At 59.6% G+C, this 22,551-nt stretch overlaps 1 protein-coding gene across 1 annotated transcript in view, besides 5 other annotated features; it reads right to left on the reverse strand.

Moving 5' to 3' along the window:
- SCUBE1 (signal peptide, CUB domain and EGF like domain containing 1) overlaps positions 1-22,551 on the reverse strand; it is a 146,093-nt gene that overhangs the window by 32,903 nt on the left and 90,639 nt on the right. Inside the window, exons 7-8 of the mRNA NM_173050.5 lie at positions 8,656-8,772; positions 1,571-1,693 (exon numbers count right to left, since the gene is read on the reverse strand). Coding sequence (NP_766638.2) covers positions 1,571-1,693; positions 8,656-8,772 — 240 coding nt within the window. The remainder of the gene's footprint in view (positions 1-1,570; positions 1,694-8,655; positions 8,773-22,551) is intronic.
- Positions 1,061-1,355: a silencer, noted in NCBI's record as "tiled region #15411; K562 Repressive DNase unmatched - State 8:EnhW". NCBI's record gives its function as "represses a minimal TATA promoter and a strong SV40 promoter by Sharpr-MPRA in K562 cells {active_cell/tissue: K562}" and the evidence as "EXISTENCE:reporter gene assay evidence [ECO:0000049][PMID:27701403]".
- Positions 8,038-8,538: an enhancer, noted in NCBI's record as "H3K4me1 hESC enhancer chr22:43634226-43634726 (GRCh37/hg19 assembly coordinates)". NCBI's record gives its function as "activates a minimal SCP1, AML or CMV promoter by ChIP-STARR-seq in primed H9 embryonic stem cells {active_cell/tissue: H9 hESC(primed)}" and the evidence as "EXISTENCE:reporter gene assay evidence [ECO:0000049][PMID:30033119]".
- Positions 8,539-9,039: an enhancer, noted in NCBI's record as "H3K4me1 hESC enhancer chr22:43634727-43635227 (GRCh37/hg19 assembly coordinates)". NCBI's record gives its function as "activates a minimal SCP1, AML or CMV promoter by ChIP-STARR-seq in primed H9 embryonic stem cells {active_cell/tissue: H9 hESC(primed)}" and the evidence as "EXISTENCE:reporter gene assay evidence [ECO:0000049][PMID:30033119]".
- Positions 17,349-17,850: an enhancer, noted in NCBI's record as "H3K27ac hESC enhancer chr22:43643537-43644038 (GRCh37/hg19 assembly coordinates)". NCBI's record gives its function as "activates a minimal SCP1, AML or CMV promoter by ChIP-STARR-seq in naive H9 embryonic stem cells {active_cell/tissue: H9 hESC(naive)}" and the evidence as "EXISTENCE:reporter gene assay evidence [ECO:0000049][PMID:30033119]".
- Positions 21,373-21,561: a silencer, noted in NCBI's record as "fragment chr22:43647561-43647749 (GRCh37/hg19 assembly coordinates)". NCBI's record gives its function as "represses an EF-1alpha promoter that drives an FKBP-Casp9 reporter gene in an ReSE screen in HepG2 liver carcinoma cells {active_cell/tissue: HepG2}" and the evidence as "EXISTENCE:reporter gene assay evidence [ECO:0000049][PMID:32094911]".

Genomic DNA, 22,551 nt, shown 5'->3' on the forward strand with positions numbered 1-22,551 from the left:
GGGTGCTCCAGGCAGTGGCTAGGAGGTAAGAGCATGGGGTGCCCAGGGGATGCACCTGTTCCCTTGGGCCCAGCCCCATCTGAACTCCCCTCCCCTCCTAGGAGCCACCCTGGCAGGTCCACTTGTGTGGAGCCCAAGGGGGACTGGGGTGGTGTCTGGGGTCCCCTGAGTGCCAAGCAAAGGAGCATGGACGCTTCCCTGCTGGACCTGTGGAGCCCAGAGCCCCAAGGCCTCAGAAAGATGAGCCTGGAAGGGGGTGGAAAAGATACAGGTGGGGGTGGGGCGGGTGAGGACAGGGCCTCACAAGCGATCTCACCTCCTCCTCGACAGCCGCCTGCCTCTTTCAGGGGGCAGCTGGGATGCAAGGTCAAGGGCTCTCCTCAGCCCTCTGCAGAAGAACTTGGCAAGGCCAACAGAGAAACAAAGTCAAAGTCAGAAGAACCCTGATAGGGCCTGGACAGACACTGTGCTCCTGTCTAGACCTCAGGCCCTGAGGAGAAGACAGGGCCAGGATGCCCGTCCAGGGACGAAGAGGCTGAGCCTGGGGAAGGCAGCGGCTGGCCTGGGGCACACATGATTCTGAGGACGGCAGGCCCTGGCCCTACTCTCGCCAGCCTCCTGCTTTTACATTCCTCAGGGACCTTGTGGGAGAACAGCCCTCGCTCCTCAGGGCCTCACCCTGCCCCGTGCCAGCCCCTGAGCTGCACTGACAGGCAGAAGCACAGCCTGGTACCCAGACAAGGCCACATGCTGCCCGCAACTGCTGGTACCCCGTGGGCAAAAAACCACCAGAGCACAGCTGGATAATCGTCAGGGAAAGACAGCCCCTGCCCTGCTACATGGGGTGCCCCACCCCCTGCACTTTCTCCCAGTGTGGGGCCCACAGGGTACCTGTCTCCTTCCTCATGGCCTCATCCGGCCCCACCAAGTTCCTTGTGGTCCCCTAAACCTCCTCAGGCCGGCAGCGCCATCTCCTGGGTGGGTTTACCTCCCTGGCTCCTCCTGGAAAATCGCTACTCACCCCTCAGGCATTTCACCAACGGACCCTCCCCGTAGCCTTCCCTGACCCCGCTCTGCACTGCCAGCCTCTGGGCTCCTGCTGCATCCTGGATCCCACTAGACTCTTCCTGGGCCGGGATTCTTGGCTTCTGCCCAGACCCCTCCTCATTATCCTTGTTCCCAGCAGGTGAGGATTGTTTGAGAGCGCCTGCCTGCAATGTGCAACGCTTTCCAACAGATGGCAGCATCCCACCTCCGAAGCCAGAGGAGTTCGATGCTGGGAGGCCCGTGGGCCACCTGGGAAGGGAGGGGCTGGGTGAACTGATGAGCTGGGCCACCGGCTCCCTCTGCCACCTGGGACATGTGCTGAAGCCCTCTCGAGCCTCAGTGTCCCATCAATAAAAGGAACAGATTGGACTGGATGTCCCCTAGAGTCGTAAAGGACCCCATTCCCTCGGGCCCAGCCCCATCCGCATTCCCCTCCCCTCCTAGGAGCCCGTGTCAGCCCAGGAGGGGAAGGGGCACGATCCCGCTGGGCCCGAGAGCCACCCGGGGCATGGCAGGGGCTCACCCTGGCAGGTGCGCTCGTCGGTGAGCAGCTTGTAGCCCTTCCGGCAGCCGCACTCGAAGCTGCCCACGGTGTTGCGGCAGAAGTGGTCGCAGCCTCCGTTGTTGACCAGGCACTCGTTGATGTCTGTGGGAGCCAAGGGGGATGGAGGAGTGAGAGCCAGGAGAATCAGCTTGTGTGACCAGCGGGGGGACGGCAGGCTAGCGGCAGGGGATGACACTGCCCTGAGTTGCCTGGTGCCCACTTCCCAAGCTGGCTGCTGGCTCCCCAGCTGTGCAGAGGGGTGGGGGCCCTGTCTCGCAGGGGTCAGGGTCGGGGCTGGGTTGTACTGGGAAGGGCCAGCTCCCCAAGCTTCACCACTTCCCCTGAGACTTGGCAAGCCTGGGATGTGAGACATTGAGTAGAGAGGAACTGATGGCTGCTGTGCCCGGCAAGAAAGCAGGGACAGCGACTCTCCCATGTCCTCTCTTCTGCAGGTTCAGGGAGGCCGCCTGGCCAGCAGGGAGGCTGGAGCAGGCAGGCACCACTTCTGGTGACCTCGGCAAGCTCCCGGACCCCTGAGCCTTGGTCTCCTGCTTGCAGAGCGAGGACAGGAAGTGCACCCATTTTGAAGGATATCACGAGGACTAGGTGAAAAAACACTTCCACGGTGCCGGTGCTTGGTCAGCGCTCAAGAAACTTTTTTCAAAAAGTAGGTGTTTTTGCCTCTGTTTGAGGAGTAGACTGAGGCTTAGAGAGGGAAAGCACCTGGTTCAAGAGGCTTCAAAAGGTAAGTGGGGAGCTGGGCTATGCAGCGGGCCTGACGCTCCCCCCTTTCCCAGCCTGACTCCCCGCCTGTTTGTTTGAGCTGCTTCTTTGCTTAACAGTGAATGAGTTGTAGTATGCTCCGAAGGTTGCCTGGCCCGATCCCGTGTAATAAATGATGCCATCCTGAGCAACTCTGCCAGTCAGCCTCTGCTTGCACACCTCCAGGGACAGGAAACTTTCTCCCTCCCAGCATGGCCTGCTGGCCGATGCCTCACAGATGTCTTCCTCACCCTAAACACAGCCCTGACCCCTGTGAGCCCCCATGCTCCTGCTCCCTTGTCGGGCCCATCTGGGCTTTGCCCTTAGGCCTTGGGCCAGCCTGGCATTCTGTGCCATTAGAGGTCCCTGTCCCCAAGGGGCCTCTTCTCCAAGGGACACAGTCTCAGCTACTCCCAAATTCCTCCTGGGTCCCGACCTCCAGGCCCCCATGCTGGCCACCCCCTCCAGACTCTCTCCAGCAGTGAGTAACAAAAATAAGAGGTTTTATTTCTACACTGCAGGGTGGCTTAAAAAAATAATCAGTGCTGGCCGGGCACGGTGGCTCATGCCTGTAATCCCAGCACTTTAGAAGGCTGAGGCGGGCGGATCACCTGAGGTCGGGAGTTCCAGAGCAGCCTGGCCAACGCGGAGAAACCCCATCTCTACTAAAAATACAAAATTAGCTGGGCGTGGTGGCGCATGCCTGTAATCCCAGCTACCCGGGAAGCTGAGGCAGGAGAATCGCTTGAACCCAGGAGGTGGAGGTTGCGGTGAGCCAAGATTGTGCCATTGCATTCCAGCCTGGGCAACAAGAGTAAAACTCCATCTCAAACAAAATAATAATAATAATCAGTGCTGCCTTTCACGACGGTGGTCTCACCCTGACTTGCAGAAGCAAAAAGGAGGTAGCGGAAGAGGCCCTTCCAAGGAGGACAATGGGAAGATCAGCTCTTGTTGGTCACCAGCCACGTCTCAGCAGACCTGCCAGACGCAGATTCCAGCATCTGCAGAGCCCGTCCTGGGCATGGTTGCTGAGCCAGGTACCTGAAGGGCCCTGTCCAGTGTCACTGGCACCGCTCTGTACAGAAGGTAAGTCTGCCCCCACTTTAAAGATGGCACTGAGCCCCGTAGAGGCAACTTGTTCCTGGCACTGCTACTCTGACCTCAGGCCGGCCCATGTCGCTCTCACTTTTTCTTCTTCAAACCAAACAGGCTGGACTCCATACCTGCCCAAAGTCCTAAAGCAGTGTTCCCAGGCAACATCCCCCAGTGATGACAAAACCAGGCTATTAGAGGTCAATTTCTGGTCAAGAATATTAGAGGAGTGCAGGGCTGGATGCCCACATGGCTCTCTGGGAGCCTCGGGGAGGGACATGGCATGTACTTTCTGGTATCATCTCGTGTGACCTTCAAAACAACCCAGACAGCAGGCTCCCATTTTACAGATGAGGTCACAGCACCACACGCAGGAGCCGGCTCTCAGCCAGCACCATCCGAACCCAAAGACGGGCCTGCTGCAGCACATCACGCTGGCCCTGCAGCCACCAAGAAAGAGATATGAAGCCCAGCTGTGCTGGTCCAGGGCGGAGGCTTAGGAATCTCTATCATTCCTTCCCCCCGAGCCCCGGGATTATAGGCAGATGGGGAATTTCTAGATAGAAGTCTCAGGTAGAAGAACAGAGGCCCATCTTGACTCTGCCTCAGTTGGCTGTGTGATGCTGGGCAGGGAAAGGCACCTCTCTGAGCCTTAGGATCCCATCTGCAAACTGGGCTGCTAAATGGTGCCTCTCCTAGCATCGCCTCTCCCAGCATCCTTAGCAAACTGAAATGAGCTGAGGCTGCTAAGCAGACAGGGGCAGCACGTGATCATTCTCACCACTCCTGCCTCCTCAGTGGAGCCTCAGGCCTTCCAGAGCCCCCAGCCCCATCCCCTGCCCCATCTGGGCCTGTCTGCTAAGGGGCTGTCATAGCAACCAGACAGGCAGAGGGAGGCATGTCTGCCTGAGGCCCGGGCTGGTGTAGCTGGCTGCCTGGGGGTCAGGATGGAGGGAAGCCCCCTCCTCACACTACCTCAGGATATAGTGAAGGGGGTGCTGGGCTCATGGCCCCTGGGGTGCAGCTTTTGCACCTCTCTGCCCTTCCGCTCCTTCCTGGGTTCCCACCCCACCGCCCCACACCAGGCAGCCAGCACCACCTTCCGCACACAAATCTGGCTGAGTCCCTGCCTGCTGGCCAGCATTCTGAGGCTCCTGAGTCTGCTAGGATGTGGGCCCTCCCTCTGCAGAGGCTCCCAGAGCTTCCCTTCCAGCCCGGCCAGGCTGCTTTGCCTCCTTTCTCCAGGCTGCTTGGCTCCTGCCCTGGCAGCCTGGACTCCAGTGACCGCACCCAGTACAGCCACAGCCCCCCTCTCACCTGCTGACCCCAGCCCTGGGAAAAACGGCCCTTCCAGAAAGCCTTTCCCAGTGTTTTTCCAGAGCCAGTAGCTCCCTCTTCATGGGAGCTAATGCCTTTGGGGGCATGAGAGGGCCTTGGGACACAGACTTGGGGGTGGCTGTTCCTGTCTGGTGCCCCAGGGCCCAGCGTGAGTGTCTAGGAACGCTCACCGAATAAAGGAATGGGTCAGGGTGATTCCAGACAATGGAGCGGGTCTGAGGGTTGAGGGAAGGGTGGGGTCTTGGGCCACTGAGTGGACTCTTTGGGTACATCACCCAGGGTTGGAGCTTGAGTGGGTGTGCATGGGGGCAGGGCGATGGGGTGAGCTATAGGGACGCACAGGACACTGGTTCTGGCTCCCTCCTGCCCATCTCACGTGGGGGACCATGTAGGGGAGGGCTTCTGGGTGGGAGCAGAGGGAGGGCACAGGGTCATGGGCTGGCACCATCCTGGAGTGCCCAGCAGGGAGGGCCAGCTGCTAGGCGGGGCTGGCCAGGTGGCGGTCACTCGAGGGCACCATTGCTCCCACTCGGGTAAAAGCCCTGGCTGTGGCCTGCCTGGCCCAGAGCACTGCAGAGGGGGAAGAGGAAACAGGCGGTAGGTGGGGGGTTCTCCCAGATTGTTCTGGAGATGCTGGGAAGAGGGGCAGGTGACCCTGAGGGAAATGCAGGCTCCCGCTGAGGAAGGGAAGATACACGTCTGCTTTCTCTCACTGCCAGCCACCGGCAGCCCAGCCCTTCCCTGCTTCCTTCAGCTACAGTCACTTTCCCATCCTCCCAACTCCTCACTTGCCAACGGCAAGCAGCAGTCCTGCATCCTTATTCTTGAGGCCCAGAACCCCCTTCCTCTTGGAGGGACCGATTAGCAAGATAACCACCTCCCAACACCAAACGGGCACGGTACCCAGCAGGGAGCCCTTGAGACGAGGGCTTAGGCGCATCTTCCAGGCCCCCCTCGTCCCCGACATTTGGACAAAACCTCCCAACTCTCCCAACCCTGCCTCCACCTGCCCACGTGACCCCCACCTGCCCGGGGTTTGCAGCCCTGGGTTGTCCAAGCCCGCTGTGACCTTTGTTCTCCAGCCACTCCTCTTGCTTGACATTGACATTTTGGCTTTCAGAAAACGTGGAGCCTTTGAACTCTCTCCTTTGAGATCCTCCCCAGACCCTGCCAAGATCAGGGTGTGCACCTGACCGAGGAACCAAACCCTGGGGCCAGGGTCTTCAATTTGTTGGGAATCCTCCTGCCTGTGCCTCTCCAGCCAGGGCTGGGAACATACCAATGACACCAACCCTGGGGCTGGAGGCCACCGTCTGGTTTCTCAGGCTCCCTGAGGTGGTCCTGTGGGCAGTTCTAGCCAGTCCCTTGGTGCTGAAATGTGGGCATCTATGGACATGTCTAGTCTCTGCCTTCTCTATGTCTGCTGCCAGTCCTGCCTTGGCACTGCCACGAGCCTGAGTGACAGCAGCTGTGCCTGGCTGTTGGTCTTCCAGACCCTACTGTGACCCCACTGTGGCCAGTGTCAGTTCAAAATGAAAACCTGGGTGTGAGCCTCCCCTGCCCAGTGCTGACTGGGACCTGGCCAAGCTTGTAGGGTAGCCCTGGGCCTTGCGCCATCTGGCCCGCCTCCTTTGCGTCCTTCCCAGTCCCAGGTCCTTGAACCCACAGGCCTCTGGCAACAGTCACAGTGCTGAAAATGCTTCCCCTGCCCCCATCATTGCCTGATAAATGCCTCTTCCCCTCAGCCCTCCCCGGCCTCCCCCAGCCTCCTGCCATACTGAACTTCTCTATCCCACACCAAGCAGCCTGTGATACTCAATTATCTCAGTGATTTTAAAAATGAAAACCTGTCTTCTGCACTCAGTAGAGGACCCCTACAGGCAGGAACCGTCTCTTTTATTCATCCTGTCTCACTGGAACCCGCATACAATAGGAGCCCAGAAAACACACCTGTTCCGTGAGCGAGCGAGTGAGATGATCTCTGACCTTGGCCAGTGGGAGCCAGGGCCCTAAGGGCTCTGAGTGCAGCCACAGGCCCAGGGCTGGGCGTCCATGGAGGAGGTCTGGCCAAAGGGCTGAGTGGGGCAGCCTGGTGAAAGGGCCCCGACCGCTTGAAGAGCAAAGGAAATGTGGTGGGGTGGGGGGGGTTGGGGGGTTGTCTTGGGGCTGTGGACATCACTCCTGAGCGCCACCCTACCCTCAGAGCCAGAACCAGAGTGGGAGGAAACGAGTGTCCCTTGGGCTACCGAGGGATGGTTAGGGGGCAGCAGTGGGAGCCCCAATCCCAGTAGCCCCCTCTTGGGCCACATGCCTGCCCTGCACCAGGCCCCTTTCTGGCCCAGACAGGGTGGCTCCTGGCCTCCAGACCCCATTCCAACAGCCCCAGCCTTGCCCAAGGAATTAAGCTCTGCCTGCCCCTCTGGCCCTCCGAAGGCAAATGCTGGCAGGCTGTGCCATCGCCGGGCTGTGAAGATGCCCAGATCTGCACAGACCTTGGGCTTCCTCGGCCAGTCACTCCTGGCACTGAGTCATGTGGCGAGGACTCAGATGCCACCCACCTGCCCACTTGCCTGCCAGGAACGCACCAAGGCTATTAACAGGCTGAGCGGTGGCCACAGAAGGGCTTTATTTTCAAATAAACAGGCGGAAGCACTGTTATTTCTGTCAATAATCACTCGGTTCTTCCCAGCAAGTTGGCAAGGAAGAAGTCATACACTGTACAAAAATACATTTATTTTTACAGGCTTAAAAAAAGTCCACCTCAAGCTATTTTAAGTCACCCTAACCTCCACTTTCAATATTTTCCCCGATGGGACTTTGGAAGTTCCAGTTCCTCTCCCCTCCACGCCCTGCTCTCTAGGCTCTCCCTTCCTGGCAGAGTGTGGGGGTACTGCCCAGCGCTGGGGTGGGGGCGTTTGGAGGGTGGTCTGGAGTGATGCTGGGGGCACTGAGCACTGCCCCTCACCCTTCTGCACAGAGGGCTCCGGCACTCAGGCCTAACACCCTGCCCCAGGGCCCACAGCTTCTTGGGGCTCCGTCTGTCCTTTGGGGGTAGCTGGACCTCCTCATCTGCAGGGCTGTCTCGAGAGCCCACCCAGCTCTCCTCTCCCAGCTCCCTGGGCTTCCTGTTTCCTGAGGGTCCCCTCAACCCAGGAGGTACTCAGTAAGTCTTTGTGGGGTGACTCAGGGGACAAGTGGGAGGATACACCTCTGCCTTCCCTCACTGCCAGCCACCAGCAGGCCAGCCCTGTCCCTCCTTCCTTCAACCAGTCACTCTCAGGTCTTCCTGACTCCTCATTTTCTGATGGCAAGCAGAAGTCCTGAGTCCTTATCTTTTCAGATGGGATCCCCCTAGCCTCGCCCCCCTAGTAGTGACACACTGTCCTTATTTTTCCTGGCATGAGTAGACCTGTGTGTCCCAGATGGCCCAACACCAGACTGTCCCCATCAGCTCTGCAAGACCCACTGCAACCAAAGGTCAAGGGGTTCGGAAACGCGCTACATTCTACGCGCCTTGGGAAGCCACACTATCACTGAGGGCCCAGGAAGTCCCACAGTAGAGACGCTGGCTTAACTGTTTAACCCAGCGTGCAGCCAAATTCTCTGACATCAGTGCCTTTTTGGCCCAGGAACCTGCTGATGTGCCGTGGGACCTGTGTTCTCTCGAACTCTGCTGGGGACCCTGCTGCTGGCCAGCCCTCCCTCTTCCTGGCCTCTCCAACAGCAAAGCAAATGATTGCCACGTGTCCTTTCCCACAGCTACACGTGGCCCCCGTTCAGCCCAGCCCTGGGCCCGGCTATGCAAGCACACGGAGGCTCTTGGCCAGGCCAGTACAGGCAGGGGCACCCACACAGCTCCACATGCTGACCTTTGCATGTCTTCCCGTCCGGCTGCAGTGTGAATCCAACGGGGCAGCTGCATCGCACGCCAGTGGCTGTGTCCTTGCATGTCCGGTCGCAGCCTCCGTTATTGACTGCGCACGTCTCTGGGGAGGGAAAGAGACAGAGACCTCAGTTTCCTTGGACAGAAGCCACTGGCTTTCCCCTTCCGTGGAAAGATCTTCTATGAGACAGGAGACGAGACCCGGGTTCAAGCTCTGGCTCTGATATACTCTCTGGCTGTGGGACTCTAGGGAAGCTGTGCTGCCTCTCTGAGCCTCAAGCTCCCCATCTGTGAAATGGGGGAATGACACCATTCCTGTGGGGTTGCATGTGGTGAGGGATGAGTACACCGCAAACTGCAGAGGGCTGTGCTTATACAGAGGCTGCTGCCAATAGGGTCAAAACTGCTATCTGGGGCCAGACTGGCCTGGCTGTATTTAACTGCCCGAGGCTGGATTCCTAAAACTTTGACCTGCCTGGACTCAGACTCCAAGTCCAGGCTAGAGGTTACTTGGAGGTGACTGGGGCCCCCAAATGCACCTCAGTACAGACTGGCTTGTGGCCCCGGCCAGGGAGCCGAGGGGTAGGTTCTGAGGGCTCACACACCATCCATCACCTTGATGAGGCTTTCAGCCCAACATCTGTTCTCACTGAGTGATATGCCAAAGGCATCTGGTTTTTGTCCACTTGAAGCTTGTCTAGTGCTTTTTCTTTTTTCTCCAAAATTCAAAGGGGCTAGAGTGGCTCAGGGCATAACCGAGGTCATTGAAGCCGTCATGCCGTGAGTGAGCCCCCTCAGGCCTGGAGGAGGGGCTGGCAGAGCTGGCACACCAGGATGCTGGGGGCTGGTCCAGCCCTTGGGTCTCTGCCACCTGGGTTTCTTCCTAAGCATCTGGCAGGCTTTTATCTTGTGGAAGCTGTGGCTGCATGGGCTTCCCTCTTCGCCTTGCTGCTGGGAGGTGGAAAGCCAATGGGCGCCCATCTCTTATAACCTGGATCCCCCTGCCTGCCTTCGCCTTGGCATCACCTGGACTCCTGGCCCTGGTGTGCCTTCTCCCTTAACGGTCTCCCTAATGGGTTTACTCTGTTCCTGTGCTGTGGGGTCTGCGTTTCTGCAGGCTGGGGGGAGTCAATGAATACATACCCTCAGCTGTCGGGACTCCCTGGTGCTAATTAAATGAAATGCATGGTGCCTTTCCTTTGAACTTCACCTTGTAGGCGTGTGCAGGGGGAGAGGGGAACCTCATGTTCCCCTCTGTGTGTGTGTGCGTGTGCATCTGAGATTCTGCAGGGCTGAGGTGGTGGGCGTCCTCCTCATGGTCACGGCTGAGCCATCACCACCGTAGGATGAGCTGCGGCTGCCAGTGGAAGGTGGGTGGTCTTGACCCTGACACTCTTCCTGGCTCGTCCTCTGTGTGTCTCCTCAAATCCTGGACCTCAGCTGGGCATGGGTGGTTTTTATGAACCAGTCTTTTGCCCTCCCATCTCCTGCCATGGCAGTGTGCTGGTCCCAGGGCTTGGACGCCTCCCTCCTGTTCATCCTTCAAGGCCTGGCTCAGAGCCCACCTCCGCAAGGAGCCTCCCTGATACCCCAGACACGGAGGGAAGGTGTCATCCTTCCTCAGGCTCATGCAGGTGGTATGACTGGCACTTGGCCGGCTTATGCCCTCTGGGCCATCTACTGGGACAGTGGAGGTGGGCAGGCCAGGGAATGAGTCCTGGCTGTCACTCACGGAGCCCCTCAGGCAGCCAACCCCTTGGGGCTGCACCTCCGCACTCACACCTGGAAATAAGGACGAGCCTTCTCTTCCAGGGCGGAGGTGAGGGTCAAATCAACCCGCTTACAAGGGCCTGGCTTGTTAGTTTCCTCCCTGGGCTGACAACCAGAGAGGGAACTCCTGCCTCCCACTCCCAATCCAGGAGCCAATGGGCTCCCCTCCTGCCTCCCACGCCCGAATCCAGGAGCCAATGTGCTCCCCTCCTGCCTTCTCAGCTTTTCCTGTGGGAGAGCCCCCCTCTGGAGAGGTGGGCAGAGAATGTGCCTGTTTTCCAGGTGGAGGTAATTCAGGCTCAGGCCTTGGAGAGATGGGGGAACATGGCAGGGTGCAGAGGGTGGGGGAGACAGGCAATGAAAACTCAGGGCTGAGGGCACCGGGTCTCTGCGGAGGGGGAGGTGAGGTGTGGTGCAGGCGCTAGGGGCAGTGACCCTGAGAGACAGACCCGGCCAAACAGACTCCAAGAATCCTGGAGGCTCTTCTCTTCCCTGAAGTCCCTAATGGGACTTGGAAGCTCCACCTGAAAGGTCACCCGCTCTCTGGACGAGGCAGCTTGAGTTCACGAGTTGCCTCAGTCTATGGCTGGTATGTAAACATCAGGCTTTGAACAAGGGGCTCTTAGTCCCTTAGGGCCCGTTCTTGGGTGCTGACCAACCCGCTCCACAGCAGGGGTCACGTGGTCACCACGGGCTGGGCCCTGCTCCGCCTCCCACTCTCATGCTCCCAGCCTCGTGGCTCCTGTGCCCTCCTCTTCCCTGAAGAGGATCCGGTACGGAGCATCAGAAACTCGGCCCAAGGCTGTGCAGCCTCAATGGCAGAGCTGGAGGGGACCTGCTCCATCTGAGTCTAACCCCCTTGGCTCCTTGCGGGCAGTGACCCACCTGGCAGCTCCAGGGCCCTACCACCAAGCACGTGCCGCTGGACTCTTCATCATCCTCCTCTAGCAGCTCCTCCCCCAGTGCTCCCTGTCTGCAGGAATGCTACTCCTACCTGCCCCAAGCCGAAGACGAGGAGCCCCCTCCTCTCCCCCTGGGACCCAGGGCCTGGGCCTGCTGCTTCCCCAGCACTTCCCAGCTCTAGCCCCTGCTCTTACTGTGGCCAGGCCACCAGTGTCCTCCTGCAACTGTCACTACCTCCCATGGTCCCTCCTTCAGACCACTGTGTCATCCTGGGCAGCCAGAGAAATGTGCCCATGTCAGGCTCATGTAAGAGCGCTGGGAGCCAGCAGTCCCCGGGACGCTCTCTGCCAGGCCCTGTGCAGGCAGGGAGGGTCAAGTGGAGGGAGCAGTCTGGCCTTGGGCCCGCCCTCACCTCTTCCCGCTTCGGGGCCTGGGGCAGGCTGCAGCCTCTTGCCTGGGGCTCCATCCCTCCTCTACAGCACAGGGATGGCCATTTATGCGGTGCCCACCTCAGCCATATTGTGAGGTTTTTAGAGGTTCACTATAAATGCAAGACGGGTAGAGGGAACAACAGTGAAACTGACCTAGGTCCTTTGGGCTGAAGTGAGGGCTGGGGACTGAAGTCTACAATGACAGGACAGGCGGGCCTGGTGGGGCCGAGCACCGCGTCCCTGGGAGTCTTCAAGCAGAGGCTCCGGTGCTGCTGCTGAGGAGGCCCCTGCCTTCCATGACAACCAGCCTGGCCATCGCTCCAGCTCCCCCATCTCTGAGATCCTCAAAAAAACAGCCTCACTCCTCCTGTTCCTCAGGACCAGAGGCCACCCAGACCTGGTATTAGGCCACAGCTGTCTCAGAGACAGTAAGAAAGCAGGCCAGGCCGCCTTTACCATGGGGCCCCTCCAAATACAAGCAGCAAACGGGGCCCCGAGGCTGCGGCAGTGGCATCTCTGCCCGGTGGGGAGGTTGGGGGTGGGCTCTGGGCCTTCCTCCTCCTCACCCATGGGCCTTCTCTGGGTCCCATCCCGGCCTCTGCCCCCTACCAGGGGCTGACATTATGGCCTCATGAGGAATCTCCCCCACCCTGAAACACACTTGTGGAGGGCGGCTCAGGCGCCTGGGACTGGGAAGAGGAGGAGGACGCAGAGCAGCCTCCAGGAGCTTTGTCCCGGGGAGCTAAAGACAGAATTTCCTTGTGGACCCTGGGGGCCCTCCAGTCTCTCTGTCCCCAGCCTGTAGACAAAAGCTACAGAGCTCTTGTCTAGAGGCTTTCTCTCTCCACCTGGAGAGATCATGGAACAATACAGCCCTTTGTAGTGGACAAGGCACCTATCATCCATGAACCTCAGCAGGCCTCACAGCAGCCCCGGGGGACACAGAAGTGCCAAAGGAGACAGGCCTGGAGGCATGGAGAACTTACATTGCCTGTCCAGGCAGGAATGGCTACATCATTTGTGGAACCCAGCGCAAAATAAAAATGGAATTGCCTTGTTCAAAAATTGCTAAGAATTTCAAGACAGAGACAGAACATGAAACCAATCGTGGGCCCTTCTAAGGGCGGGGTCCTGGGCCACCGCACACGCCACACACCCTAGAAGCTGGCCGTGTTCAGGTCACACAGCTATTGGGAGGAGCCAGTATTTGAACCCTGGTCTGCAACACTCCAGGCTGATAAGTAAGCCGGCCAAGGCCAGAGAATCAGGGCTTTGATGGGATCCTCACCGTGAGGTCTGCACCCGCTGGTGCCCTGGCTTCCTCCTCCAGCTGGTGGGGAGAGCGCTCACCCTGTAGGGCGAGGGTGGCCAAGGAGAAGGAAGGCCAGGCGCAGGGCTGGCTGGGGCTCGAAAGCATGTGGGGAAAATCTCAGACAAGTTAAAAGGTCTGGCCTTTGGTCTCTCTCTGGGGAGCTCCTGCTTTGGGCTGGGCCCTGCAGGGGAGGCCGGGCGCTCCACTGGACCCTGCATGCAGCCTGCCAGCGCTCTGACAGAGGGAAGCAGGGGCGAGGACAAAAGGATGCCTGGGAACAGCTGCAGCCACTGCTGGCCTTTGGGTTGGCACTGCCTGCTTACGCCGCCCCAGGTCTGGGACAAGGTCCTTAAAGGACAGTCTCAGTCACCGTGTGGTGGACATTAAGGGACAGGCGCTATGGAGGCAGAATGACAGGGTTCCACATGCCGGCTGTGTGACCCCGGGCAAGTCCCTTGGCTTCTCAAAGTCAGCTTCTGGATGTGTAGCATGGAGATGATCATATTTACCACACAGTTCTTGCAAGGCCCAGGCAGAACAGTGGATGCGACAGTGCTTTGGAAGCTGCTCTGCGATTGGGTCCACACTCTCACTGTTGGTGCCATTCTTGGAAGCTCTGCCTATGGAGACTCAGAACCCACAGGCAGTTGCTAATTCATTCAATGATTATTATCTGAACTTCCCTGCCCTGCTAGGATGCGCCTTGGACACAGCCACTGGTCTTCACAGGCGGGTCAATTTCACGGTGCTAGGTGGCCGGGAGAGGGGAGCTACAGAGATGAATGTGACATGCCCCAGGTGTCAACAGTTTATGGAGTGGCGGGGGGCATGAAATAAGGCCCAGACCTCGCCTTTCTCTCCTGGGTCTGCGCCTTCCTCTCACACTGCCCACCTCCCAGCCCATGCCCCGCCACACCCCAGCACGGTTCCTCAGGGTTCCACAGGGCACCCCCCTTGGCCTTGAATAACCAACTCCTCAGGACACAGCAGGCCCCACCTGCCTCCCCGAAAGCTGTCCCGAGCCTTACCCTGGGCTTCTGCCCCACAGGGCAGCGCTGTCTGTGTGTGCAGAGGCCTCTCCCACTGACCACACGCTATCTGGGCAGGGCAGCGTCAAGGTGACCAGCACGGCGGAGGTGTCTAATGAGTTGTGCTCAATGACTAGATTAATGAGCAGGGACTCTGGAGGCCCCAAGAGGAACAGAAGCAAGTCTGGGAACTGGGACCCTACCCTCTGTTGGGCCTGGAAGGGAGAGTGAGCTGGGAGGCGAGGTGGGCAGGACTGAAGGGCGAATGTGCCCCTGGTGGAGGAGGCAGTGTGGTGCTGCGCTGTGCAGGGCACAAGGGCGCTCTGTGGTGCACAATGGGAAGTGGGTGTGGGTGCCAGGCTCAGTGCCAGCACACGGGGGGACTGTGGGCAAAGGACCCTCCCCTCCCTAGGCCCTGGGTTTCCCACCTGTGTTGTGCCTGAACATCGCTGAGGTGCTTTTCACCAGGGCAGAGGCTCTGATCCGGTGGGTCTGGCATGGGCCCAGCGTCCCACAAAGGCCCTGCCATCCCTTCTTCCTCCCTGCCCCTCAGTGGCCTACCCTGATGATGGGGGCAGCCCGGGGTCCTCGCCAGAACCTGCTGATCCCTCAATCAGGGCTGGCCCACCTGCCCTTCTGTCCCTAGAATCAACAGAAGCTGCGGTGAAAAGGGATTGGCCGGCCCTTCCGGCAGATCTGGGGACCTCTGACCTCTGACCATCTTCCCACAGCTGGCTGCTGAACCCTCCATGGCTCCCATCGCTTTGGGATAAAAGCCACGCCGTGCTCCCTGGCAAGCCCCTGACACAGTGGCCCTGGTCTCCCTGGCTGGCCTATCTCCCGAGGGGCCCTCTGAACTCCGGGGAGGCCCTGTGGCCCGTCACTAGTGTTGTGCAGCAGCCTTATGGCCAGCGCTGTGCTGGGCACCACGAATGTGGCCTCCCTTGCGCCTCTGACAGTCAGCAGGGTGTGGTGGAGGGAACTTGACACCCTCAGCAGAGGGCCGCGCCTGGTCCTGACCACGCCTCCCCGCCTGCCTCTACCTCCACTGGGCAAATGGTCAATCCTGAGACCTGTCTGCTGGGGGGGTGCCGGCTGGGTCTGCCCCAGGGCTGCCTGGGGACACGCTGGTGACAGTGCATGCAGGTGGTGGCGCGGGTGGGGTGGGGCTCAAGTGTGGCTGGACGCAGGGTGACTGTGGAGGCTGCAGCCCTGACAAGGAAGTGGCTCTCAAGGAGAACACGGGACAGGACACCCCGGCAGGCTCCTCCAGAGCCAGCGCTGCTCGTGTCTAAGGCTGCGGGGCCCCAACGCCCATGATCCCCAAGGGCCACCCAGGCCTCTGAGGCAGCCCAGGGTCTCCTGGACTCTGCCTTTTTAGTACACAGCCCCGTGACTCTGAGGCCCATTTTGGCCCTCTGCTGACCTTAGCCCGGCCCTGCTGAAATAAAAGGCCCACAGGCCTGCACCATCCTTAGGGCCTCCGTCTACCTGAGAACCGTGCTGCTTGGGGAACAATTTGCAAGGCAAATTATTGTCAGTGGCACTGTCTTCCAAGGCAGCAGGCGGGGCCTCAATTCCAGGATGCGCTAGGAGTGTGGCAAGCCACCTTCTCTCGTGACTAGTGGGCGGGTGGGTGTTCCCGCACCTGCTCAGAAAGCAGAAGCCACTGGGATGGAGGGACGGTGCCCTGCAGGACTGTGGCATGGGGGCTGCAGGGAGGCCTGAGGGCTGGTGGCACCAGGTGTATGGAAGATGCCCACCCAGGAGCAAGACAAGCCGACCTCAGGAGAGGTCTCCTCACTTGGTTTGAGGGGTCCCGAGTGCCCCTTGGAGGACAGGGAGGTTTCATATTAAAGCAGGTGGCAGGAGCAGGGCCTCCAGTGGCCAGTCTCCCCCTGCCCTGCCTCCTTCACTTCCTGCCTCTACCCTGGCTCCTCAGTGAAGGGTGCTTAGGGCAGACAAGGGGGCTCCCCTGTGGGTGGGATCCCTGGGGCCCACCCACAGGAGGCATCATGGCCGTGCCCCAGGAGGCTTGGAGGGTTGAGATGCGGTAAGGGGAAGGAGCTGGTGAGGGCAGGCAGCTGGGAAGCAGCTGGGCCAGTGCTCTTCCGTGCACCAGGCGGACCCTCCAGCTGTGTGTGCCCAGGGAGGCTTGGGGATCTGATCAACAGCAGCTCACACTCACTGATCAGGCTCATGCCAGGCCCTGTGCAAAGCCTGGGGAGGCAGAGCTATCACCTGCCTGCCCCTGGAGGGGAAGGGGTGTAGGATAGAGGGAACTGGAAGAGCTGCTCTCACCTCTCTGAGCTTCGGTTTCCTTATCTGTAACACTAAACCTTGCAGGTTGCCGGGAACATTGAACATGTCTGGTTATACATACAGCTCAGCCTGGAGGCTGCTCAACAGAGGGAAGCCTTGCTCCAGGTTTTCGTGGGCTGCCCCGGAGATGTGGCTGAGGACAGATTAAACAACAACCTGGGGCAGAAGGAGGCAGTGCCCACCTCTGCTTTCAGGTGGGCCTCCGGCAGTGATGTGCTCCCCACTCCCACCCTCCCACCCTGTGACTTCGTGGGGATGGGGGCGGGGCAGGGAGTAGCTGGCACCTGGAGCCTGTGTCCATGCTCTCTCCCTCTCCCTCTCCAGAGCTTCAGCCTGGGAGCTGTGCAGGGCTCCTGGAGGGGTCCAGGTTACAGGCACCAGGCGCTGTTAATCCTGCTGGGTCTCCAGGGCTCCCGTCAGCCCACCACTATGACCTGACTGAGGCCAGGCTGGCTCCGGGCTTCTTGTCTCACTGTCTGGGACTTGCCATCAAGCTTTTGTTCCTCCCTGGCATTCCAGAGTGCCCTAGTGACATGCTCATGGCCAGTGATGGTGAAGAAGGAAAGGATGGAAAGTGGCTGAGCACCTGCTACGGGCCACACACAGGGCCAGGTGCAGCCTGTCCAGTGCCTCAGCTAAGCTTCTCCAGAGACTAGAAGCCATCTCTGTAAATGAGAAACTGAAGCTCAGATGTGAGCTGGCCCTGGGGTGCTGGTGGAGCTAGTGACTGGGGAAGCCAGGACTGAACCCCGGTCTGACTCTAGAATCTGGCTCAGGATAACCAGAAAGGATCACCGTGTGCTTGACTGGAGTGAAGCTCCAACCACGGATTTCTCTGCTCTAAGAACAAATGCACGGTCCTTACAGCAATGACACAGCCTGGCTGAGCAACCTGAAACCACCCACCTTCCTTGGGTCAGACCAGGAAATCTCGCCTCAGGAAGCTGGGAGCTGCTGGGAGCTGCTGGGAGCTGCCTGCTACTCCTCAGTCAAGTCAGGGCTAACCTTGGCCTGCAGTCACCACCTGGCCCGCCCTTAGCTGGATCCAACTAGAGAGAGGCAAGGGTGGCTTGGATGGGGAGGGCTGCAGGAGGAGCAGGCCGTTGCCCCCCAGGTAGGTGGGGTGAGAGGGAGCCAGCGGGCAGGGTGGCAGAGGGGCCCGGTCGGGCCTGTTTTTACACTTGGGCTCCTCCTGAGAATGCAGGTGAAGAGGGTGCCCTGTTCTTGGGCACCTTCCATTACAGCTCCAGTGGACATCAGTATTACCATGTGGGCCTGCAGGGCCGGGGGGTCAGGACTGGATTAGCAAAAATGGCAGGAGGTCACAGAGGGCACTGAGGTTGCATCTCGAAGGGCTTTGGGGCCCACTTAGACCAGCGGCCAAGAAACCTAGGGGAGGATTAAGGCAGGGCTGGAGCCTATTCAGATTTGTGCCAAAGAGGGCTCTGGCCGTGGCCTCACAGCTGGTGGGGCTGGGAGACAGGGAGGCTGGGCCAGAATCTAGGAGAGAGGAAACAGGGCAGGCAGTGAGATGTGGTCTTGGATGTTTAAACATTAGATGAGAGTTGAGGACCAAAAGGAGCAGATGGGGGTCAAGTGTGCCCCACCTCCATTGGGATGGAGTACAGTGGGAGGGAAGCTGGGGGGCGAGGGGTAGGGCCACCCAAGAGTGCCAGGCCCAACGCACAAGGTGGCCTGGGTGGGCCACAGCCCCTCTAGGCTTCAGCCTCCCATCTGGGCCAGGCAATGCCCCGAGCCCTCGTCTTTTCTCTACTAAGCCCTGCCTGGCACTGCGACTCCACCCACACTCCAGCCCTCCGCACAGCGGAGTCGCCATCACCTACTTCCCCCTACAAGCCCCAGCTGTGAGTGTGAGACAGTGAGGGACTCAACTGAGGGCAGGGCCCAGGACTCAACCTGGCTGGGGGCCCCAGCTGACCAGACACCAGCCATATTTGGAGCCAGTCCAGTGACTGAGGTGTAGCCTGACCACCTGATCCTTCTCTAACAGGAGCCCAGTCCCTGGAGCTCAGTGGGCAGGGAGGCCACGACTTGAGAGGGGCTTGCCCCCGCTTTCCTTCAGCCAGGCCACCTGATGAGCACTGGGCCTGGGGAGCGGCCCTGTGATATCACCTCCCTCACCAGCACTCAGACCTGCCTGAGTCCCTTCCCACTTCCAAGCACGTCCAGGCTGCAGGGCCTGCCCTCTCTCTGAGCTGGATACCTGCCTGCCTGGGCACTGAGGCCCCATCCATCCCCGGGCACCTCCTCCAGGAAGCCTTCATTCATGTGCTGAGCCAACTAGCCTCACCCATGCTCCCGCTCTGGGCAAGGCCCTGTGCTGTGCCCTGAGGGGGGGCACCAAGCTGGAAAAGACCTAGCTTCTGCCCCCAGTCAGGGGGTGCTGGTGGAGGAAGGGTGAGTGGTGGGACAGGGGAGGAAGGACAAGCAAAAGGCAGCCTTTGTCAGGTAGAACCACCCAAGATGGCACCTGGGTAGAGAGAAGAGGATGTGACCCCTGGAGGCAGGGAGTCCAGGAAAGGCTGAGCATGCAGGGCCAGAGGAACAGGCAGAGGGTGGCTTCCAGGAGTGGGTGAATGTGCGGGGTGGGGACTGGGACATAGATTGGTGAAATCAGGGACACCCGGGACCCTGGAGATGGTCGCTGCAGAAGAGGAGGTACGGGCGGGGTGGAGGGGAGCTGGGGTGGACGGGAGCTGGGGTGGAGGGGAGCTAGCGGGGAGAAGCAGGAATGCACATGTCCCGATGAGAAGTGACATTGGCCATGCCGCTCAGGGTGGCTGTGCACTTAAATGATGCTGGGGACAGTGTGGGACACAGTGTGTGCCCCCTAAGTGTCAGCCACCATTTCCACAGTGGCCTCCACTCTCCTCGGTCTTCCCTGGCCTCCCAGTTCTCCAGCCTCCCTGCCTGCTTTTCTCAGGATGAGCAGCCCCTTACCAAGCTCTGGCCTGTGTGCTGGGCCCTTCCATCCTTTCTTTCCCTTCCAGCTCCTTTGAGCCTGGCAGGGTGAAGCAGGTCATGGCCATTTGGGGGACGGGAAACCCGGGGCTCAGAGGGGTGAGGCTGTAGCCCCGTGAGCTGCAGTGGGAAAGCTCCTCTCTTCTCCCCCTGCCAGCAGGACAGTGGGCCCTGAGTGCAGCCACGCGGCCCAGAGGGCTTGGCTGGGGGTGGCCAGGACATAGATGGCGGGATGGCTGGGGAGACAGGTCTAGGGGCAGAAGGGCGGGGAAAAGCCAGGGGAAGCCTGGGACTCCACCTGGCCCTGCCTGCTCACCTGCAGATCTGTCCCTGGCGGCTTCCCTTTCTGGTGCTTTGCACCTCAGTGCCCCAACTGCGTCACACAGCTGATGCACAGTGAGTGCTTCCTACGTGCCTGGCACCGCGCTAAGCACCTGCTACTTAGTCACTCATTTCATCCTCAAATCGATAGGAAGTACACGCTATCACGATCACCATTTTACAGCTGAGGAAACAGGCTGAGGGAAGTTAAAAAATTCGCCTGAGCAAGCAAAGCTTCCAGGGAGTGGACAGAACTGGTACCCAGGCCTTGCTCCATGACCGAAGCTTTTCCCTCTCCTCTGGACGCCTGGGGGCTCCTGCAGGTCTAGGGCCCTGTCTCCCGGGAGATGCCCAGGCAGTGTCTGCTGATCAAGGGAGTCACAGATGCTGCGACTGCTCCCAGGCTTTGTCTGGCACTGGCCTGGGGAAAACTTATGAAGATGGCTCTAATAGTACGGAGGGACAGGGAAGGCTCAGGGGGCCCTGTCCCTGCTGGAACCCAAGGTCCCCTCAGGCCAGGCACTGCTTCTTGGGCAGTGTTCCTCTTTGCTCTGACCTCCATAAGCATCGCCAAGCACTCACTCCTGGCCAGATCCAGAGAGGAGGCAGAGAAGGTTGGGCCTATATCGGACAAGGTGGAGCAGTTCAGGCAGCCAGGCAGGAGCAGCCTCAGGGGTGCGGGGAGAGGAGTTCCCAGCTGCCTTTCTGTGCCCCCATGTCGTCATCTCTAAAACACTCGCACTGCTCTCAGGGTGGCTGTGAGGTTGAGGTAAACACGGGGCAGAGTGCAAGGCCCAGAGGGAGCTCAGGCTGAGGGCCGACTCAGATTGGGGTCCCTAGCCTGCAGCTCAGGCCCCACTGCTCTCATGGGGGTGGTGGGACCCCTGGAATGGGCTGGCTGTGAGTTCTGCTGATGTCGTGCCCACAGGAGGAACATCACAGCCAGAAATGCTACTGGGCCTGCAGAACCGCGTCCCTCAGGCCTGTTCTGCTCCTAACCTGGGGCCCCGGACTTGGGAGTCCACAGGGCTGGGACTTTGGCCCAGGCTTTGCTCACTGGCTATGTGGCCTCCCTTCTCAGGGCCTCAGGGTCTTCATCTGTGAAGTGGGGATAGCTGCCTCCCAGGGCTGTGGGGGAGACTCACTGGAAAGCTGCCTGGAAAGTCCCTTGCAAACTCTAGAGGGGTTGAGCAGTACTGGTGAGGCGAGAGAGCCGGGGCAGAGGGAATGGGCTGAAGATACACCCCCAAGGCTGCCTGAGGAAGAGTGGGTGCCCACAGCTGGGGCAGCCAGCGGAGGCTCCGTGAAGTGGGTGGGGTGCATCCCACATCTTCAGGACTGGTTTCAGAGGAGGCTCATGGTCCTGGGGCTCAGCCAGTGAAAAGGGCAGGTGTGGGCTCTGCCCTAACGGAGGGTTCCTTCAGCCCAAGCAGAACCATCTGTTTTAGGCAGAATAATGCCCCCTTAAAATGCCCACATCCTAATCCCCAGAAACTGTGACCCTACCTGGCAGAAGGGCCTCTGCAGATGTGCTGAAGGACCATGAGACGGGAAATTATCCTGGATTATCTGGAGGGGCCCAGCGTGATCACAGGGGTCCTTGAGAGTAACCGAGGGAGGCAGCAGAGGTGGGTCAGAAACAGAGCTGTGAGGACTGGGGCGGGTCAGGCTGCTGGCTCTGCAGGTGGAGAAGGGACCGCGGGACAAGGAACGTGGGCAGCTCTAGAAGCTGGAAAGGCAAGGAAGGGGATGCACCCCTGGAGCCTCCAGAAGGAAACAGCCCTGCCGACATCTTCAATTTAGCCCAGTGAGCCCCAGGTCAAATTTCTGACCTACAGAAGATAATAAACGTGCGTCGTCTTAAGCAACTGAGATTGCGGGAATCTGTTAGCAGCAGCAAGAGGAGCGGAATGCTCCACCTATCCTAAGCATGCTCCAGGGAGAGGGGCTTGATTGAAGACCTGGAGCTGACCAGCGTGGCGCGTAGCACCCCATCAGCCTTGCCACAAGCAGGGTCCCGGGGCCTGAGGTAAGCTCCCATGCAGCACCCCACGCTGGGTCCTCAGAGGTTTCATGTAAGTCTCCCAGATAATTGAAATTTATCACTTTAACCTGCAAATCCGACAATTTTAACTGATTGTAATGGGAGTCTACAATTGGTTACATGTTCTGGGGCCTCTTTAAAGTAAACATACTTACTCCGTTCTTCACCTGTGCTCAGGGACTGGGGTGACTATCACAAAAAGCAATTGCTGGGTGCAGCCGAGAACCCAGTGGCCCAGGCCGCCGTGCTCGAGGTATTCTCTCTCTCCGGCCACATTCTAGACTTACAACTGCGCCTCCCATTGAGGGCACTCCCCTCCCTCACTGGAGCCACAATCCCGGCTCTGTCCTGCCCAGCTGTGTGGCTGGAACCCTTAGCCCCTCTGAGCCGCAGTGTCCTCCCCTCCGTGGTTTCTAAGAGATGGCCACTTTGGCTTGCAGGTTCTGCCAGGGGACGGGGATCTGAGCATCCGAGCCGCTCTCCTGAGGAGCTGGCCAGTGCTGCAGTCAAGGGCACAGACTCTGGAGCCACGTGGTCCAGGTTCTGACCTTGCTGTGAAACTCCTCAGTGTCTCAGTTTTCTCATCTACTGCTGGCTCCTTCTGCCTGTGCCTGTCCTACCCTTCTCCCCTCCCGGAACCCCGAAAGGGGCTCAGGCTGCCCACAGGCTCAGGATCTACTGGGACGAACTGCCCGTGATCTCTCCCACAGGCCAGCAATCCTGGCAGCATGAACATATGAGGATGACCCAGTTCTGAGCCCCTCACCAT

The sequence above is a fragment of the Homo sapiens genome, chromosome 22 (assembly GCF_000001405.40).
Source record: "Homo sapiens chromosome 22, GRCh38.p14 Primary Assembly".
NCBI lineage: Eukaryota > Metazoa > Chordata > Mammalia > Primates > Hominidae > Homo > Homo sapiens.